We start from the raw sequence: 22,563 nt of genomic DNA on the forward strand, positions 1-22,563 counted from the left end.
TGTTAAGTGTTTACATACTGTGGTTAATATTAAACATGCCAATGTAGGTATCAAAAGCAATCAATTGTCTTCTAAAAACTTATTATTCAGTGGACATTGAATATTTTCTAGGCACTGTCATCATGCTGTGGACAAATCATATCATTCAATTCTCACTCTCCTATCAGAGAAGCATTGTTATTTCCAACATTTTTTGATGAAGAAGCTGCAAGTTACCAGCAGAGCTCATTCCTGTTTCTTTGATTCAAAGCCCAAGCTCTGAACCACTTACTGGGCTTTAGTGCCTGCTTCTCTGTGGAAATTCTGGGGTCACACTGCCAGAGTATTCATCACAGCTCCACTTCTTAAAGATTTGGGTTAGTTGCTGACCTCCCTGTGCCTATTAGCTTTTCTGAAAACTGTGCATGACAAGAGAGTCTGATTCATAGGGACATTATAAATCTCAAATAAGCCTCTGTAAGGAAAGTGCTTAGAACACAATTGACATGTAGTAAACATTCAATTTAAAGATGTCTATTATTATTACATAATATCAACATAGGCTCTGCCTATATGGGAAAAAATATTTGGTTAGCTCAATCTGTGCTCCATTTAAAAATCCTAATTAAAGGAATGACGATTTGTTAGTGGCTACTCAGCAGAGATACATGTTCGGCACAGCTGCTAAATTTTGTCAGTCTTCCTATTCTGTTATCATGTGAAGATAGTGTGGTGAAAATGAGGTGTTCTTTCCATTTCGTGAAAAGTGAAATGACAGCTCAATTTCCTTCATCTACTTTCACTGGGCTTCTTTTGGAAGTTATTGTGAATATAATGGCTGGGTCTTTGGCCAATACATTCCTGTCAGAAAGGCACCATTTTTCTGGAGCATTACAATATAAGTGATGGAACAAGCACTAATCTTGAAGTTGGATCTACCAAATTAAATCCTGCTTTTGCCTTTTACTAGTTTTCTGAGCCATGAGCAAATTAGTAAAATTTTATGAAATTCAGTTTCCTCATCAATAAAATAGGAATATTTATTTGAAAGCAACAGTTCTTAGCTGGAGGCAATTTTACCCCTAGGGGACAGCTGGCAATATCTGGAGACATTTTTAGTAGCCTCAACTGAGGAGGGGAGGTACTAATGGCAATAAATGGATAGAGGCCACAGATGTTGCCATACATCCTACAGTGCAGAGGATGGCCCCACAAGGAATGATTCAGCCCAAATGTCAATAGTGCCCTGACTTAGAGTGTTATTAGAATAAGATAAAATGTTTGTAAAGCACTTACTATCACACATGACATGTGATAGGTGCTCACGGTTCATTAATCCAGCAAGTTCCTCTTCCTCCTCCTCATCCTCCTCTTACTCCTCTTCTTCCTCCTCCTCTTCTTCTTCTTCTTCCTATTCCTCTTTCTCCTCTTCCTCTTCCTCTTCCTCTTCTTCTTCTTCTTCTTCCTCTTCTTCTTCTTCATAGCTGCGAATTGTTAGGCATTGATCACTAATGTGAGTTTCCAGGTTTCCCTCTCTGTTGGGCCCAAGTACTGTGATAAACTAATTCACACTGAGTTGTCTGAGATTTATTCTTCTCCCAAAAATATATGCATTTTAAAAAGAAAGTCTTTTAGATCTTGATTATGAGTAAATCCCTGTGATGGAAGGTTACCCTTTCTGGCATCTGGTAACATTTGTTCTTCTCTAGCTACCTATTTGCCCTAGAAGGTAGAGATTAAGCATTGTAATTTTTACCTCCCTTTGCTGATTGCAAAGATTCAATGAAATAATACAAGTAAAATGTCTAGCATAGGATAGGTGTTTGATAAATGTAGATCAGTCTTATCACATACATAGTCTCTCTCTCCCCCCCCTCTCTCTCTCACTCTCTCTCTCTCTCTTTCTCTCTCTCGCCTTTCTGGACATTAGGCATGTGATCATATTTCAGGAATCTTCTTTCTTCGAAGTACCCTGTCCTGTGTTTATCTTCACTGTAATCAACAATGTACTCTTCTTCAGAGCTTTTTAATTCCTTTTCCCAGATGATAGACTGTCCAGATGTGAAACACTATCCAGCGGGTTTTGCTGTATTTACCTTCTGTCCATGTGGCTTTGTACCTTCCCAACTGTATACCTGACACCCTTTCTTTCTCCAGGCTGTGTTTCCTCATTGTAAAAATGAGGGCACTCGTGGCCTCTCAGGTCTCTTCTGGGTCTCACACGATTCTCTTTTCAAACCACTACTGTGGTCGTGTAGGTCTGCCAGCACTGAGCTTCTGCATGAGCATCCTGATTGGCCTTATCATGGACATGCTTCTGATGCATTCTACATTTTCTGGTCAACCCTCATTCCCTTCCAAGTAGTTTATGACTCATAAATGTTTTAAGATAGTTCTTTTCCACCTGCGTTTCTCATAAAATTCACAGGGTTCTGTAGCTCTTGAACAATTGCTCCAAATTTAACTTTTTTGTTTTTTTTTTTTTTTGCCAGGAGGATTAATAGAAGTTTAAGTTTGCATTTGCCAATAAACTATAGATTGTTGTAGACCGGTTGCTCTTGTCACCCAGGCTGGAGTGCAATGGCGCAATCTCTGGTCACTTCAACCTCCGCCTCCCGGGTTCAAGTGATTCTCCAGTCTCAGCCTCCCAAGTAGCTGGGATTACAGGCGTCTGCCACCATGCCTGGCTAATTTTTGTATTTTTAGTAGAGACGGGATTTCACCATATTGGTCAGGCTGGTCTCGAACTCCTGACCTCAGGTGATCCTCCTGCCTTGGCCTGCCAAAGTGCTGGGATTCAGGTGTGAGCCAGCCTACCCGGCCATATGTTTTTTCTCTGTTGGAGGAGATATCACATACTGATTGGTTGTTGAGTATTCATTAAGTAATATTAGCAAATATTATATCTTAGTTCACTAGCTAGGGTTTTTTTTTTTTTTTTCATGAGCTAATTAAGTGCACACTTCACACACTGGTGATTGCTACCAAGGCAGCCCTGGTAGAACTAAATAATGGTGGAAGGATACAAGATGTCCCACACATCAGGAAGAGCACCACTGACACTGTGTCCTTCATGTAGTCATTTTCAATTATTTCCAATGGGCAGAGGGAAAGGAGGTTAAATTTTATATATAAATATAATGATAAAAGACCTCAGAAAGCCTGGATTTTTAAGTTGTTCAAATAGCTGGTTACTTTTAGAAGTTATTGAAGGGCTGGAATCACTGGGGCAGTCATGTTTAATGTCAGTATTTAAACTCTTTCACTCTGTTAATACTTTTAAATATCCCTCATAGAAAATTTTCATGTTTGAATATTGTGTCCACTAAATAAAAACCAGATGCTTTGTATTTAAAAATATCTGAGTTTTAATTCTCACCACTTGTCAACTTTATAACTTTGGATCAAATAATTAACCACTTTTAGCTACAGTTTCTTCTTCCATGAAAAGAAAAGAATAGCATCCTAATTGACTAATGAGATTATTACAAATTCACCATTCACTAATAGGATTATTGTGAAGATAAAATTATGTAAAGTGCTGAGCACAATAACAAGACATAGGGAGTTCTCAATAAATAGTATCTATTATTAGAATTTCAGCAAGTTTCTGGTTTGGAAGAGTTAACCGTTACTATATATATTATATATATTATATATAATATATATAACACTATATATATTATATATATTATATATAATATATATAACACTATATATTATATATAATATATATAACACTATATGTATTATATATAATATATATAGTGTTATATATATTATATATAATATATATAACACTATATATATTACATATACGTAAAACACTTTAAAAGTTCTTGATAGGCCTGTAGATTTTGCCATTTTTCTCTCTGGGTCAGTATGTTTTTGTCATATGTATATTAACTGTCTAGCAATATGCCTAAATATTTTCCATTCTAATGTCTTTTGCATGTCAGAATTTTCAATCCATTTTTCTTTTTGGGTGGAAGGTTTACTCTGTCACACACACATTCACACACTCTAACTAAACTTTGCTGTCTGTACACAGCAGGCTTCCTCCCCCATTCATTTATCATACAGATATTCAATGAGCATCTGCTACTGTATGCCCTGGCATGCTGATCTGTGTGTGCCCTGGAGCACACTCTAGAATTCAGAAGGAAACAAGCACATCCCTTGCAGTCTAGTGTGGAAAGCAGACATTAAGCCAATAAACCTAGAAACCCACCCGTGTTTACACATTATGGTGCCGTGAAAGCAACGGGCAGGAGGAGGTTGGGACTAGCCTGAAAGTAGAAAGATGCGTGGCTGGCAAAGGGAAGATCACACACAAAACATTGAGGTATAGAAAAGGGCTGGCAGGGCAGGAGCTGAAGTGAGGTGATTTTTTGTTTGTTTGTTTTAATTTTCATTTCCTAGCTTGTGCAGTAGAGCACACATTCCTGCAGGTCAAGAGTGTCTTTCATGTCTTTTGCATCCCTCGCAGGGAGTGTCCTGGTTATTAAGGTGTTGTCTCTCAGCTCCAAACACACCCCTTTATACTCTATTTGTGATGCCAGGACTGGGATTTGGGTTAACCACACAGGCTAACTACACTTTTCCTTTGCCCAGCTGGCTTTCTGTTAGGCTCTGTCAATAGAGGGTGCTAGAGGGAGACACTAAAACATGGGAAGAATTCCTTGCTTGCCCCTTGCTCCTATCAGCGGCAGCCCAGCTTTTGTTTACTCCAAAAGCAGTTGGTTTCAGCTTCCCTTTTTTCCCCTCTATAATCCCCTGAGCCAGGCTGCTTCAGAAACATCAGCACCAGCAGGCCACATGCCCTCCTCAGATGTCTGGGTCCAACCTCCACACAATGCCTCCTCTAAGCTTTTAGGTTCTAATAACTGCATTTTCTTTTACTTGTCTCCTCAGACTTAAGGATGGTAGCCACCTCCTGCAGCCACTATCTTTGTCTCTTCACTGTTACCTGTTTGCATTTTCACTTCTCCCATGTCTGTCTAACCAATACTTACGTTAAATTCTTCCCGTTCAGGTAACTGGTGAGGTGCCTGTGTTCCTGACTGACTCTGATGGATGCGTGGCTAGTTTAACTGTCTGTTCTTGCCCGTACTAACCATCTCTCAATAGAAGCCCCCACTGGGCCCCTCCAAGACCAACTGCTCATGAGTAAAAACGGTCAACTGCAAGCAAGAAATGATGATTGTCAAGCTTGAAGACAAACTTTTTTCAGAAGCTCTCATAGCCTGCCTATTCCCAATCTCCACTATGCAATATCGTTTTCAAGGTTAGCAGAATTATAAAAACATCAATTTGGCCATTATTGACTTTTCAACTGGGATACCAAGAAAGCCTTTCAGCAGCCTCGATAAATTAAATCTGGCCACCTAGCTCCCAGACTGGCAGGCTCCTACATCATTGACAGAGAAGACAGGGGAAAGCAGTTTTCCCAGCTGTTGCAGTAAATGATGTGCATTGTGCTCACAACCATTAGCAGGCGGAAAATTTGAAGTGTGGGTACATTGCAGAGCTTTTAAAAATGCATAAGCACTTTGTGAGTTTGCTAAGTCATGTTTCACTCAGCTCGGTTTGAATTTTTCATAGAGGAGAAATATTCTGTAGTCTTTTCTGTTTAAGTTCTTCTTTATCAGTAAGAACTGCCACAGTGAGGTCTATAGTGGAAGGGGGCCAAGTCTAATCATACAATTTGCTTGATTAGTCCTCAGTTTTTCTAAGTTGTAAAATGCTTGAAGATTTAGGGCTTTAAGGACTTAATATAACTTAGTTTCCTGCCTCTCCCTGTTTAATCCAAAATGCAAATTCTTTCCCGTTCTGGATTTAAGTTTATTTGATGTGTTTTCAAGTCAATCTTTATCCTGAAGGGCTTATCCATTTGTGAAATTTTAAGCACTGCACTATAAAGACTCCTTTTTTTCCAAAAACATCCTCTGTTCACACACCATGTCCCAGACACAGTATGCGCTTGTGGTCACTCACTCACCATTCCTGTGCTGAGGCAGACATTACTAACTACTGAATACACATTTTCCTGAGGCATCCAGCTGTAACATCGGTGTCATTACTAATGTGATATTCCAGCTAGATCTAAGTATTAGCTGTGTAGTGTATTGATGGAAACATTATAATTATATAGCAAGCCCCTGATTTGTTTCCCTTATATGGAATAGCGTCAGCATTGTAGTAAAACAAAGATGTGTAATTGAATGGAATACTTAGTGTGCCGCAAATTATGAAACATCCTTTACATTAGCTATCTCATTTAATTTTCTTCAAAGCCCTGTGAAGAGAATGCTGTTAACAGCCTTATTCTTCAGATGAGTAAACTGAGGCTCAGAGAGTTGAAGTAATTTATGTAAGGTCTCATAGGTGACAAATTGTGAAGTCTGACTCTGGCGCCTGAGACCTGCACTGCCATGTTATCAACTTGATACAATTCAACATATGTGTTCAGCTCATTCACTGATTATTCATCAAACATTTATCAAGCCACTGTTATGCAGCAGGCACCAAAAATCATATAATATTCAACAAATTCAGCAATGACTTATTAAAAAACAAGGTAGAGCTATTAGGCTCTCTGACCAGCAACTAGATAATAACTCCCCAAACAGGCAATAGATTTCCTGCTTTTTTAATATCAATAAATCAGACTTTTCTTGGAATGAAATGGTTTTCTTCCCACATCTGGCTAATCAATTGTAACCTATTTTCTCCCCAAATGGAGAGAATTATTCCAGCCAGTATTGAAACTTCAGCAAATTGGAAGCAAAATACATTGCAACTTGAAGTACTAAGGTATTTATGAGATCGTTATTTGGTATAATTGGGGGGATTCTAGAATACTTTGTGTTACAGAACTGACCTTTCATAGATCTTTCCACACTTCCCAAGACTTGTAAGCATATCACAGTGGGACTGCAAGGTCAAAGGGGTCTGGAGCTTACATGTGTCATTTCTGTGTTCTGATTTAAAACCTCTTTGCTTGTAATTAGGTTCTTGGGAAGAGGGTAGTCAGGCAGACAGTGCTCCTAGAAAAGATATGGGGTGGTTATCTTCTCACATTTGATTATTTTTCAAACTTCACAACAACCCTTCATGTAGGACTACAGTTGGGCTGTAGTACTATTAATCCTATAATATTGGATCAGCTGGATGGGGCCCTTCTGATCCTATCTTTCTTTTTTGGTTTAATATAATACATAGACTTCAGAAGCCATCTCATAAATTATCTTGCCAAAATAAATGGCAAGTAAAACAGTCAAATGTTCTCATAAAATCTGGAAACATGGTAGTATGACAACCTCCACTAGAATTAAGTTGTTCAATTCCCCTTTGATAGTGATAGTGCCCAGAATAAGTGGAAAGCAATACTTCTGTTTGGTAGCAGGAGGATCCCAGATGACATTTAAATACATGATCATCCCAGCAGTTCAGGGAGGAAATAACTGCACCATTGCCAGGTTCCTGGCTTGGCACATAGTGAGGGCTTCATGCAACTTTCCACATGAATATACAGAAATTTTTCACATGATGGTGTTTGTGTTGTTAAAATAACTTTTGGAAGACTGAGTGCAGTGGCTCACACCTATAATCCCAGCACTTTGGGAGGCCAAGGCGGGCAGATCACTTGAGGTCAGGAGTTCAAGACAAGCCTGGCTATGGTGAAACCGCCTCTCTACTGAACATACCAAAAAATTAGCCGGACGTGGTGGCAGGTATCTGTAGTCCCTGCTACTCAAGAGGCTGAGGCAGGAGAATCACTTGAACCTAGGAGGTGGAGGTTGCAGTGAACTGAGATCGTAGCACCACTGCACTCCAGCCTGGGCGATAGAGCAAGACTCTGTCTCAAAAAACAAACAAACAACAACAAAAAACCCCAAACAAACACTTTTGTAGAAGACTCAAGTTTCCTTCTGGGTCCATTGAATGAAATAAGCTTACCATGGGGAAGGTGACTGACTCTTGGACAAAAAGACAGCAATTGCTTCTCTACTTGTTCAGCAGGGTTTATGGCCAAAATATTTTGTAATCTTGCTTTAAGGTAATAGGTGTATCCCAGCATATATTTCTTCTCTTCTTCCTTTTTGTATTTCCCCTCTTCCTGTTCTTTTTGTAAAAGCTAAATTCAATTTCTACACTTTTCCAAAAAGGTTTAAAACCAGATTGTCTCTGGTTTGATGTGATTACTTTTCTTCAGCGCAATTCATTGGAACCATTTCTCAGTTAAGTCATTTTGGTATAGGGGTTGCCGAGTTTGGGGAAGCAGAAGCATATTCTGCCTAGTAAAGGTAAAAAATGATCCCCTCAAAATGTATGCTGGCAGACAGAAAGCATTTTCTATTACTGATATTTTCAGTCACCAGCTGGTATATGCTGAACAGTTTCTGTATTGCATGGAAAATGTATAATAGCATGACATAACTAGAACAATACAGCTGTTGTGATTCCTTTTTGGCTAATTGGATTGTTGCATTTAATTTAATGGCTCTATAAATACGATGATTACTCAGTCACATTTTAGAAAATGACTTGAAAGAGTGGGTATAATTTAGGGATACTTCTGGAGTTGTGATTTATAGAAACTTTTGTTTTACTTTCTCTTAAAAAATTATATGGAGATAAGTTGGTATGTATGTTTAAATCATTTAATATGTAAAGAACAGACTTTATACAAGAAGATAGGATGTAATTTTCCTAATAGTTTTCATTCTAAGTTTTCTCTACTTTGACTATATTAGAAATGGCAATAAGGTAACATCCTGTATAATGTGACCTATTATTCATGAGAATAAGATATAGTGTAAATCAAAATGGGGTCTCCTTTAAAACTGTATAAAGGTACTACGTTATCCTTGTCCTCAATATCATAAGGGAATTTGTTCTCTTTACTTTTATGGATTAAGTACAAAGAATTGTAGAAGTGCCCAGCATGTAATACATGATCGGTAAATAGTATTAAGTTTATGACTCCAGGAAGACTGTGGCTGTTCAGAGGGTGGAAGTGGAGGGCAGTGATTTATTTTTAGGAAGTTGCTTTGTGCCATGATTGTGGACTTTTTCTTCCTGGTTCACGGAGCCACTGTGCATCTGCAACATTGCTCTGCCTTCAAATTGCTAAATGCAGCATTATGAGTCAAGACTCAGAGGAAAGGGAGAAGAGGAACTCATATTGGCTTAAAAAATGACACAGAATATAGTTTATCATATAAATGAAAAGCTCACTGGCAAGACTAGCTTCAGGTGTGGCTAGATCCAGGTACTTATAAGTTATAATATGGTCTTTTATTGAATTTCTACATTGTTCCTTGGCATATTTGCTGGTATTACAACAACGGATACTTCACTATGCTCATACTAAGGAGCTCATGGCCTAGTAGCTAATATGATATATAACAAAATGTAACATGTGCAATAATAGAGGTATTTACAAAGTAGAACTATAATTCAGAGAGGAGAAAAAAGCAAACACTTCTGAGGAGAGGTTAACAAGAAATTCAGAGAAGTTATAACTTGAAAATTGTTTTGAAGTAGAAGCAACGATTTTACTAACAAGGATACTGAATAAAATGGTTAATTGGCATGGTTATGGCCCTTGCAAGATCTGTATTCAAATCTCAGCTCTGCCACTTTCAAATTGTACAAACTCTGGCAAGTTTCTCAAACTCTTAGGGTCTTAGTTTCCTTGTATGGAGACTGAAATTGGAACTACTGAATTAACAGAGTTTTTGTTAAGAACCAAGGAGCTGAGGGGTACCCAGTTAGGGACAGGCACAGAGTCAGTCCCCTTTCCCTGGTTACTGTCATTCTGCTTTCATAGTCTCCTCCTGTTGTACCTGACTGTTGTCACTTGGAGCTTTCCATCAGCTATGGAAAATTGGCCAGCTTTTATTGAAAGCTGACTGTGAGAGAGATACTGCATTAAGAATTTTGACTTATCTAACTCCTTCCTATAACTCCAGATAGTAGGAAAATTATTACCCTTATACCACAGATGAGGAAACTGACTGAAAATCTAAGGGATGTGCCAAGGTGACAAGCTTAATAAATGATGTTAGCTGGGTATTTCTGACTCCCGTGCTCATGGGCTTAAGCATTATACTATATTTCCTCTTATATAGCATGCCATCATTAATTTCCTCCCCTCGTGGACTTGGCTTTTGGGTGCACCTGTTGCAGCCCACCCTGGGTGCCACCCCACTTTTTCTAAAAGCATGGTTCTGCGATGCTTCTCTTATGTGTGTTTCTGTGTATGTCCAAGTGCTATACTGCTACTCCAACTGACCTGGCTGGCATTAATCCTTTGGGTCCTTTGCTTTCTTTTCAGGTGAGCCTTCCAGATGGTCACCCTCACACTGCGATTGCTGCTGCAAGAATGGCAAAGGTGACAAAGAAGGGGAGAGCGGCACGTCTTGCAATGACCTCTCCACATCTAGCTGCGACAGCCAGTCTGAGGCCAGCTCTCCCCAGGAGACGGTCATCTGTGGTCCCGTGACACGCCAGACCAACATCCAGACTCTGGACCGTCCCATCAAGAAGGGCCCTGTCCAGCTGATCCAACAGTCAGAGATGCGGCGGAAAAGCGACTTACTCCGGACTCTGACTTCAGGCTCCAGGGAATCGAACATGAGCAGCAAAAAAAAAGCTGTTAAAGAAAAGCTCTCAATTGAGGAGGAGCTGGAGAAATGTATCCAGGATTTCCTAAAAATCAAAATTCCAGATCGGTTTCCTGAGAGAAAACATCCTTGGCAATCTGAACTTTTAAGGAAGTATCATCTATAAGGGAGGGCTGGGGGCGGGAAAAGAAAAAAAAAAGTCATTTTGAAATTAACCTCCTAAAAGGAATTCATATTTTAAAGGAAAAAAATACAACTAATGATGCACATTTCTTAGAACACAATAGTCCATTGATATACTACTGCCTACTTTACCTAGTTCACCTTAACATGTAAATCCACAGGGTAGATTTCTTTCTAGATGTGGAAGTACAAGAAAATCTTTTTTAGTTATTTGTTTGTTTACTTCGTCCCATGTGCTAACTATCTTATATATAATGAGAGCCAGCTACGTAAAAGTAGCTGAGAGGCCTTGGGAGTCATTTATCCCAAACTGGGTTTTTTCTCTCATCCTTCTACCTCCCTCCTTTGAATGAGGGTATGGTAGAAAAAGATCTGGCCCAATGGCATAAGTTTGGAATTTTTAATTTTGGTTTTTCCTTTTGTTTATGGGGTTGGGGGGAATGGCAGATTTATATGACTTTTCACTCAAATCTATATGTGCCAGTTTATATTGACTCCGTATGCATGAGTATTTGTGCAACACAAGCACAACTAAGTATGTATATACACATGACGCACACGATGCCAGGGCCTAGACCTCCCAAGGGCTGTGCTCCTGCTCCCAGCAGCCCTCTCTTAGAATATTTCAGATGGATGAGCTTCTGACTCTTTCTTAAAATTCTTTTGGGAAGATTTCCCAGCCTTTCTTCACAACACTTTCTAACATCAAATGACTCTCATCATCAACAAATTGTATTCCTTATTGTGAAATTAATACCCTCAGGCTCCATTTTACTGCTTTGCTCTTTGTCTGCATTAAGAGAGGATGAGGAGAGCTGGTCAAACATTCCTTGTGTTAAAAAAATCAAACATTCATATCCACAAAATTTTCTGCTAAATGACTCCACACTCAGCCTTCTCTACCCTGAACTGAATTATCACCCTTTTCTCCATGTTTTCAGAGTTCTTACTGCCCACAGTTTAATGGTGTGGCCTTTCCACATAATCCACATTAAGTTCTGTGTTCCTGTGTTGTTGTGGAACTAAGGACAACACACAGTACTTGAATAAGGGTCCGGCCTTTTGTTTGTTTTAGAGAAAGTTGTATTCCACACACAACCTAATAATTTCTTATAAAAATTTTAAACTACAAAGCTACATTTTTACTTGCTTGTAGCCGTTTTTGTTTGCCTTTGGGATTCGGGCTTTGGCTGTGCCCATGCTAGGATTTAGCTGTGTCATTTTTATGATGTCTGTAACAACCCAACAAGGTAACTGAAGCTCCAGAGTTAAGGTTTCAGATTTCTAAATGAAACTATCTTTTTCAATTACATCCTGACTTGTATAGACACAGCCAAAAAGAAACTGTTAATAGCCATCCGTCCATGTAACTCTGTATTTTACTAAGGTACCAATAGCTCTTTCATAGACTTGTGCTACAAGAAGGTTAAAAGACCAGTTTTATTTTCAGCATTCCTCATGCATTTCAGTGGTAACCAAAAAATAATTTGTCAATTAATAGTTGTGTGCCAAGCACTCCTAATTTGTTTTATTGCGTGTGTGTGCATGTGTGTATGTGTATCACAGGTAATAAAGGCAATTGGATGATATCTGTAGGAGGAAAACAATGACTAATTTCTTCCTTTTGAAATCTTTCATTGATGCACATTTATTATGTAAGATGTTCTGTCTTGATTTCTGTTCTTAGTGATGATTAGTATATGAATATCTTTCTGAATTTTTGTAATTCTCGCCTTCACACTAGGATGACAGACTCAGCTAATGTTTCCTTGTCCTGAAGGTTTGAATGGAGTTGAAAGTTTTACATAAGTGAAAAAGAAAGTTTATCTTGGGAGTTGAGTTGTCAAGAGAATTATAATTTATGAATTTAAGTGGTATTCTTTTCTGTATTAATATATTAGCAGATATTTGGTCTTAACTACAACATAGCTTTGTTTGTAAACTTACCAGTATGTCTTGATTCTTTTCAATGTTTCTTGATAGCACATGGCAATACCATCATCCTAATAACAGAAGATCTTGCAAAGAATCACAGAGCTTAATGGGTCAAGAAGTTGAATTTGGGGAAAATATCCTGAAACTCACTTTGGTCAAATGATTATTGTGTTGTCACTGGAAGTACTGTCAAAGACTTTGGGGGTCTAACTAAAATGGCCAAAGTTCCAACTTCCTTAAATTTCAGACCTGACTGTAATGGCCTCAAGATAGAGAGATACCCTTATAAGAGTAAAGAATTAAGATGATAGTCAACCCAATATTTCTACTACATTCTTTAAACAGGAAATTAAACACTGCAAAAGGAGTGTTCGTGGCAGTGTTCCTCTGACCCCTGACCTGTCATGAGTTTTCTCTGCTCTGACATTCCTTATACATCCAGTGAACAAAGCTGGAATAGAAAACCTGTTTAAAACCATCACAACAGCAATATTTTTATTCTGGGCCACCTCTCGACTGGCACTCATCCCATGGTAAAATATTCAAGTAACTAAGACAACAGCATGGCATTTATTTGTGTGAGTGTTTATATAGAAATGAACATAGACCTGGCCAGTAAAAGGCTCTGAGGAGGCTTAAAGTACCTAGTTTGAGTGGAGTTATCAAGTGAGGTCCAGGTAGCCTGCAACACTGGAAATGAGTTCTGGGTAAGTGAGTTATAAGAGTACATGCTCTAGTAACTCTGGTAGTCACTGTGACTCGGGCATGTTTCCCTGAAGTTAAAATAGTTTTTAGAACTTTTTGTTTAATTCTGAAGAAAACAATATATATGGTTTACTTCTCGAACATTGGTTATGACAAGGGCCATAAATTGCTAATATAAAGAAGTTAGTAGTATTGAGTGGATACAATGAATGGGGAATCACATGTGTAGAGCCCCAACTTAGATTGCCTTCTGGGAAATCCCGCGATACTAAAATCCAGTGAGCTTTGGGAGATCATTCCCTAAAGGTATGTGGGTTGTCTGAAGTCAGAAACATATTTACAAAGTCCTTCTACCCACTATCAAAAATGAACTGATCTGCATTCAGCAGGAAAAGGGGAAGACAGGAATGTAAAACTACTAGATCATATGGTATTGTGATTTTCTTTCCCCTGCTAGGAAAAAATTGCACTGAAATGCTGACAAAAAATAATGAAATGAAGTGGCTTCCAAAATATGCACTGATGTTATCCTTTGTATTTATAGGCACAGTTATCTTACTGAAAATGCATGCATGGTGAATTAAAATAAAAGGGGGAACAATGCACAAATAATAAGCGTTCCCTTTGCTCTTTATTCCTTTATAGTTGTATCTATTCCAACCAATTCATTTTGGGGGAACACATTTATTAAGGGATGTTGACATGGAATTTTTCTCTTTTCAATTAGCCTTGTTAGATTCAGAGGAATCTTTATCCATAGGCACAGGTGTGTTGCTTGTTCTGGGCCCCATTACTGCCTGCGCTTCTGGATTACTTTTGCTTTCCTGGGCTTTAGATTCTTCTCTGAGGATCCTTTGTTGGTGTCAGACAAAACATGTTACAATGAGACAAAAGGAAGGCATGTATGGTGTTTTGTAAAATTACTTGACACCAGCTCCCACAATGGGAACCAAATTTTGATTCTTATACATTTTCCTTTGCTACAATTCCAACCTTCAACTTTGTATCTACTATAGTGTAGATCTGTGAATTTGAGTGCTGGTATTTTCTGCCACTATATACCATGCCATGGAATTTGACTAGCCTTGGTCTTCTAGATGATCTTTACTAGAATTAATAATACTCTTTCTGTGAACTTTTAGGAAGAATTCTTTGTCACCTCCACCTGACATACCAATTTTCAAAAGAAAAACGAAGGGAGTTTATTTTTCCTTATGGTGACTCTGTGGCAGATAAATGTTTTTGCCAATTTGCATGCTGGTTTATAGGTTTAGCATGGGCCATTTCTCTCTTTAATGTCTTGGTATTGTTGGTGTCTTGCAATCTTGATGCCCCACAGTTTCAATTTATTTATTTTCTTTTATATTGTCAAAATAGCACACTAGAGAAAGAACCAGAGTGAACATTCTGTATCCTGAGTTACAATGGAGTTACATGTCATTTGTATAGAACTGTATAATGATTAATATCTGCAGAGAAATTAGACCAAATGAAACCTGCTGGAATAGGTTTGATTTATATTGCCTTCATCATTCTGGTTTCAGACGAAATGGTTATTGCTCTCTACCCCTGCTGAAAGAATAGAGTCTTAAACTTTAATAATCACAGCCTTGTGATGCAAACACAGAGCTTATTTGTTTGAAATGCCTATTATTCTCATCTTGCTGTATACGTTGGAATGGAGATTCTTTTTCCAGTGATCTCCATTGCAAACTTTTTAATAGTGTTTTTTAATACTCAGTATGCACAAAAATCATGTGTAGCACTTGTAAAAATGCAGATTCCTTCAACCTAACTTCAAAGAGTCTGATTCAGAAACTTGAAGCAGGGCAAAGAAATTTGTATTTTGAGCTAGTCTCCTTAATAATTTTGATGAGGATTGTCTATAGACCTTACTTTGAAAAATTCTGCTGTTTAGGGAATATGCAGAGGCCAAGAGTTCCTTTACTCCTTAGAAGCACTTCCTCATTTTCTCTTACTTTCTTCCCACTACAAATAAGTCAAAGCATGCATTATTCATTATCTTAAGAGAAAACACCCAAAGAAAAATATCCTAAGACTAGGGCAGAATAGATTTTCATGAATTCTTTGCCATTTCATCTGCTGTCTGTCAACCATAACCCTTTCTCCATATTGTGTGTGTATGTGTATGTGTATGTGTATGGGTTTTTTCCCAAAATAAAAGCCTGCATTATTATAGTCTTAGCTCTGGGTAGATGGGAGCATATCTCTGAGTGAGATGTATTCTAATGATACCCAACAAGAAATAAAAATAATGATCTTTCCCAAGGAGAGTTGTTTATTTCTAGGCCCTTACTTAGTATGAGTGGGAGGAAATTGAAAGTGATCCATAATTTAATGGTGTATATGGCCCCAAAGGTGATTCCATTAACTGCACATAAAATATAACCAAAATGAATATGGAATGATTAGTGAATTCAGCTATATTTAACCAATCAAATCCTGCGCCATTGAACTGCTAAATTTGTCCAATTTGACTCAATCAGGACTATGAAGCTCTCAGATAATTGAAGATCCTGAACCCTGACATTAACTAAAAACTTGAAGCCAAACTGATGTGTAAGAATAAATGCAAAAAAAAAAAAAAAAGAAAAAGAAAAAGAAAGCAAGAAAGAGTGAATTCAAAAGGGTTTCAATGATCCAATTGACCCTATTCATTTAACAGAGTAACTGGATACATACCAAATTCCCACGTTATAAGAAAGATGAAAATAGAGATCATGCTTGTCATGATCATGAGTGAATATTTGAGTAAATATTGCCAAAGGAAAGTGAAGGATGTTTAATGAAACTGATGAACATGAGCAACTAATTATGTTAAATTGGCCAAGATTAAAACAAAAATGGTTAAATTTGATTCAGTTTGTTGCCCTCTCTCCTCTACTTCCTAAGTGGGATCCCTTTTCTGTCCCGGCTTCCTAATGTTCAAAAAATGTTTCTCTTGCTTGTGAACAAATTTTGTTGCCAATTAGGTAAAAAATGTTAAGTTCCCAGACTGTCATCCTTGCATTATTTAGGAAATTTACTTTTAAAAGGATAAAGAAAAATGTGCCTGGCCTAGCAACTATCAAGGGCTTGTCCTGGAGGAGGGTGGGGGTAATCTTCCTGTTAATCAGCTTTGTAAAACACTTATATGCCAACCAGAGGGTTTATTAAGTCTCTTGTCTCCAGCAACCTCCTCCATCTTATCAGTTTATTTTTAGAATTGACCTTTAGATAATTTACCTGCATTTGCACAGTGAAAAATCAACATAACTTTATATTCTCTTCCTGCTGATGTGGTCTCCATCCATCACAAATGGAAGCAGAACTGATGCTTAGTAAAGTAATGAGAGTTGCTTTCAAATTACATTAGTGTGCATGTGTGTGTGTGCACATGGCCATGTGCAATTTTTAGGTTTATGTCAGCTCAGTGGATAATGTGCGTGGGAGTGCTATCCGAGTGCATGGAAAAAGCCTTTGGTTACATAGTTTAACAGCTTTTTAGTTCAGCACAATAGTTTGTCTCTACTGTGGATGTCAGTCCTTGAGAATGTTAAGTAAAGCTTGAGCTTGTCTCCTCATGTGAAATTCAAACAATACTAATTTCTGGGGAAAAATCAAACTCATATCCATGTATATAGTGAAGAGTAGCATCTTATTCAAAAAAAGAATGTATTTTTGAAAGCTAAGATAGACATAGAATACATATTAATCATCAGTAGTCTTTTTTAATTGCAGCCAGTGATCAGTGGTTTATCTATACCCTTTAGGTGAGAGACAGAGAGAAACAATTTCAGGAAACTCTCCTTGATTCATGTGGGTTATGTGCATTTAAGGCCGTGGCTCTCAACCAGGAGTGGTTTTGCATACCAGAGATCTTTTGGCAATGCCTGGAGATATTTTTTGTTTCATGATTTGAGGGGTGCTACTGACAATTAATGGGTATAGGCCAGAGATGCTGCTAAAGATCCTACAGTGTACTGGAAAGCCCTCCATAACAAAAAGTTATCCAGCCCACAATGTCAATAGTGCTTAGCTTGAGAAACTCTAAATTAAGCATGAGTTTAAATTTGTCAAGGCATTTTTTTTTCTGTACCATATACGGGAAGTCTTCCAGGTCAATAAATAGGATAAAATAGAAAAATAAAAATCGGAACCAGTTTAAATGTGTATAGAAATTATATGTATGGAAATTATTTGAAGTTAGACATAATTATCTCTTTATGCAGATGTGAAAGCTGAGATTTACAGAAATAGGAAACTTTTTCCAGGGATCTGGTAGTGATGAGGAAGGCCTGTAGTTTAGGTGTCTTGTGTTCTTCTACTTCAGTCTTTCTGCCTCAGAAAAATTATACTTCAGTGATGTTGTCAATCTTTCAACAGCTAAATGTGTTTGTTGTGAAGCACTCTGGGATCCTTTTCAGTTTACATGATCCTGTTAAAGATGTTTCCCAAGCTGATCAACAGTAGACCACAAAGTGCTCTCAGAAATGAAACTAGTAAGGGGGAGAAAGTGTTTTGAGCAGGCCAATGATTTCATTGTCTGTAACTGCTTATCATACCCTTTGTTACTTTGAGTTGAATATTCCCTCTCTGAGGATGGTAAAATCTTATTGGAAAATATGTTTCCTAGACTCACCCAGGGGTGGCTCCCAAGTCCTTGTTTCCAAACATGTGACAAGTCTAAGCACAAGTCCTTGCTACTGAGTCTTATTGTTTAGTTTATATACACTGACTTTATTAGAACACAATTTGTGTCTGAAATGATTTGACATTTTTCTTTTAATGTATCATACCAATATCCCAGGGATGGAATTATGGTAGGGTCATTCTAATTCCATTTTATACAAGGGAAACTAAGGACCCAGAAAGTTTAAATCGGTCATTTATTTGTTTGTTTATGCATATATCCAGCAAATATTTGTTGGGTACATACTATATATAGGTCACTGTCGTGAGCATTATAATGTCTAAGCAATCAAATTTGGAGTAAAGAACTTGAATTAAGTTCATTCAATTCCTAGACTAACATTATTTCTATATGTAGTTCTGATCAGTATTCTAGAATTATGGTTTAAATATCCAGTTATAAATAATATATATTACAGATTTATTATTATGTACCTGAAACTCTACTGAGTACTTTTCATGCCTTATCTCATTTAATCCTATCATAATCCAATGAAGTAAGCCCTACCACTATCCTCTCTTTACAGATGAGGTCAGTGAGGCTCAGAAAGATAAAGTAGCACATAAAGGCTCATAGCTAAAAAGTGGCAGAGCCAGATTTTCCTCTGAGTTTATTAGACTCTAAAGGCTGCTGGCTTAACCATCTCTTTGTACAATCTGTTCTCTCTGTTCTCTGAACTTTGCCTGTTTCTCCTCTCTCCTATGCTAAACAAGGTGAGATCCCAGCCTGACATCCTTCCTAAAAGTCATCAGTTTTTTTTGTTTGTTTGTGACTTGTATCTGCCTAGGAGGTAAAGAAAGGGCAGATTTGCTACAGCTTGTACTTTATGCCACAAAAATTTTCAAGGGGGCAATAATGTTGTAGAACAAGTATCTGGTGAGTACTGATACCCTAAGAAACTCACCGTGATAAGCTAGCTTCCACGTCTGGAGAAAATGACACCTGCAATTGCTTGCTGTGCTGCACACAGGTCACTAGGGCAAGCTTCAGGAGAAGTAAAATAGGTGTATGAGCGTGTTTATATGTGTTTATGCATGAGTGTATCTAGGTATCTGCTATTTTCATCTTTTGGCTTGTTAAACAGTCTCAGGTTTTTATTCAAGACAGGTCAAAAGCCCAAATGTGATTAACTGCCCTCAGCATCTCATTGTTACTGTTATAAGTTGGGAAAAAGAGAGGCAGCTTTAGAAAAGAAACTTCACCGAAATACGTGCATGCATGTGTGAGTGTGTGTGTGTGAGGAGTGTGTGTATTTATGTGTGTTTTGTGTTTATGTATAAAATTATGTATATATATGTACATATGTGTGTACATCTATCTTAATGTGTATATATAAATATATATCTATAGCTGTACATATGTATACACCCATAAACAAAGCTCATAGTTTAAAACTTTGGAATTTTCAGTTTGGAGAACTTATTATTATTACAATTTATATTTGGTTTCCTAGACGGTCTAATATAGTTCTAATTTCCAAAATTCTCTTCCACTAAAAGTGGATATATTTATTTATGGTGCCGAGAACATTAACAAAATATTTAGATTTAATATCTATGAATAATAAACCAAAAAAAGTGCATTTAAGGAAACACCAAACTTGTAAAAACTGGCTCTCTTATCCAAACCATTTGTTGGAATTTCAAACTACATGTTTTCACACTTCTTCATTCCAAAAAAAAAAAAAAAACCAAACCAGAAAAAACCCAAAACACTACCAAATGAACAGTGATAATGTTTAAGAAGAAAAAGAAAAATGTAGGTGTATGATAGCACAAATTCAATGGTTATTGCCCTAGTGGTGCTTCACTTACCTATTGGTTAATTTATTATATCCTGGTTAATTTCACTTTATCACTGATGAGGGTTCCTGTGTCCCTACATGATTTATCGGTGGAGCTAATTATCTATTTATTTAAAGCTATAGTAAATAATTTATAATATGCATATTGTAAATAGATACTAAAAGTCATGGGCACATTGTAATAATCACAAAGTTTTAGTCTCCTGCAAATAACACTTGAAGTCTGTTTATACAATACCCAAATAGTTGCTCAAAGAAAGAACAATGTAAGTCAAATACAAGAAAACCTTACTTACCTATTTTGGCATTTTACAGACATAACAACCAAATTAACGAATTTTGGCCATCTTAAGAATACAGTAAGTTGTGTACTCATTCATAGCCACATGCTTTGCATATTACTGGGGAATGTGAAAAATATTTAAAGTCAACCTATGCAAACAGAGATTCCCTGCTGCTCCTTGGGATCAGTTTGTATGCACACAAGCCCATGCCTTCAACTGATAGTCCTAGCACAGATCCCTCCTCCCAGAGATCTGTCAGGTGTGCCCACACAACAGAAGCACTTGTAAACTAATTAAGCACGGTCACTGAATCCTTTTTTCACCAGCCTTCTAAAGATGTTGTCTTAAAAACATAAGAAAGAAAATCCATTTTTTTAAAGCAATGAAATGTTCTAATTAGGTTTGAGGACATTTGAAGGAGCGATTGTTTTTTCCCCAAAATTTTGGAGCAGAGGGGACGTTTTACATCATCCTAACTTCATGTTCCTCTGTCATTTTATTTTATTTATTTATTTTTAATTCCAAAGGAGAAAGTTGAATCAGGAAAATTTGTCTTAAAATATACTGCTTAGTTTAGAGACGGACAAACTAATGTATTTTTGTAAATCATGGGTGGCGGATGTCAAAATCTCTCATTAATTACCCTGTTTTTTTCTTTAAGGAAATTGATTCATGAATAATTGGAAAGGTATTCTAGTTAAGACACACAGAAACACAAACTTAGCGGAGCTGCACTTCAGAGAGTCCCACTGTAATCTGTTAATAGAATCTGCTTTAAATGAGTCACTCCTTAGACTGGCAATGACACCCAGCTTAGTCTGTAAAATCAGGAATCTTTGTGTTGGCTGAAGGAACTTAGTAATCTTAGTTGAATTCCTCTTCCCCATGTCTTTCAAAACCAGAGCACTGGGTCGAACCTAACCCACAAAATAATTCGTCCAAATTAAATTGACTTTTTTACATAACATCAGCACCACCCCTTACACTTTTAAAGTTAAAGACCCTGTTGATCAGGTTACCTGGAAATTTCAAGTGCATCTGACCAGGGATTATCAAGCTCCTTGTGACATCTGTTTCTGATGCTGTGAATGTGATGTCACCACAAATAGAGGATTCTGAATTTTGCTGGTACTAATGCTGAGTGGTGACTTATTGGGGCCTTGCTCATGTTACTTTTTCCTGACGTCATTCAAGCACTTGATGACTTGGGTCAGTTTGTTGCACATTGATGAATAACAAGTGACACCCAATGAAATTACCTCTTCTCCTTTCCAATGCAGTTCGCTTGTACATAAATGTAACGTCATATTGTTTACAGGTTATTTTTGTGCGTAATTGTGATAGCAGATTTAGCTCAAACTTTAAAGGAATTTGTTTACTGACTGGTGTTAAAATGAATGTGCTTATTACAGTATAAACATCATTAATTATGGACTCACATGAATGCATGTCTACATGTCGTCAGTTCTCAGCAGCTCAGTTATTCAGCAAAAAGTCTGCAGTCTGTGAATAGCAAATATACATAAACTACTGTGACTCTAATAACTCTAACTGTTTTTACCTTGGGATGTAACACTGTAGATCTTCGCCTGCTGTATTTCTTTCTTACCTATTTGTTTTTGCGAGAAAAACATGATAGAAAATGCTACTACTAATTGTCCCAATGGAATTGCACATCATTTTGGCAATCATTGGTTCACTCAGAAGGCAACCGCCTATAGATGGAACAGCCCTGAGCAACATATAAATATATACATACATATCTATGTATGCAATATCTACACTGCGAATTACTACCATCTATTCTCACTGCCAATGGAAACAAACTACTCTTTTCTTTGGATTCATTGATGGATATAAAAAATTAATTTGCTATTAACTGCTTTCATATTCTGTTTAGTTCTTATAGTATGGTAAATGATACAGGTGCAGTATCAGTATTGTAAAATTGTATGGTGAAAACTACAAAAGTCATTCTGTGGATATATTTTAAAAGGAAGAACAGAAACTATATTTCAGATTCTTGTGTGAATATAATTACAGAATAGGTAACTATTTTTATGTGTTTCCATAAATGACTCCATTTCATATGCATTGTAATTTAGCACAAATCATAATAAATCATTTGGTAACATTTAGTTGTTATATATATCTATTTCCAGTATACCTAAGAGACTGATGAGTCAACATTATTTTATGCTAACTCAAGAAATTTAGATGAAATATAATTACCATTGCAATTAGTTTATTTCTGGTTTGTTGTGGCAGCTTGCTGAGTTTGGGTACAGAAAAGGAGAAGACTTAATGAATTGGTTATTTATTATACTTAGAATTAAACTGTAATAG

The 22,563-nt window shown here is 37.2% G+C and overlaps 1 protein-coding gene across 4 annotated transcripts in view; it reads left to right on the plus strand.

Annotated features, from left to right (window-relative positions):
* KCTD16 (potassium channel tetramerization domain containing 16) overlaps nucleotides 1-22,351 on the plus strand; it is a 314,814-nt gene extending 292,463 nt beyond the window's left edge. For all 4 annotated transcript variants that reach the window (NM_020768.4, NM_001370487.1, NM_001370486.1 and 1 more), the window contains one exon: nucleotides 10,325-22,351. In NM_020768.4, the coding sequence (NP_065819.1) occupies nucleotides 10,325-10,779 (455 nt within the window). In that variant the 3' untranslated portion in view covers nucleotides 10,780-22,351. The remainder of the gene's footprint in view (nucleotides 1-10,324) is intronic.
* Nucleotides 22,352-22,563: the final 212 nt, after the last annotated feature.

The sequence above is a fragment of the Homo sapiens genome, chromosome 5, assembly GCF_000001405.40.
Source record: "Homo sapiens chromosome 5, GRCh38.p14 Primary Assembly".
NCBI lineage: Eukaryota > Metazoa > Chordata > Mammalia > Primates > Hominidae > Homo > Homo sapiens.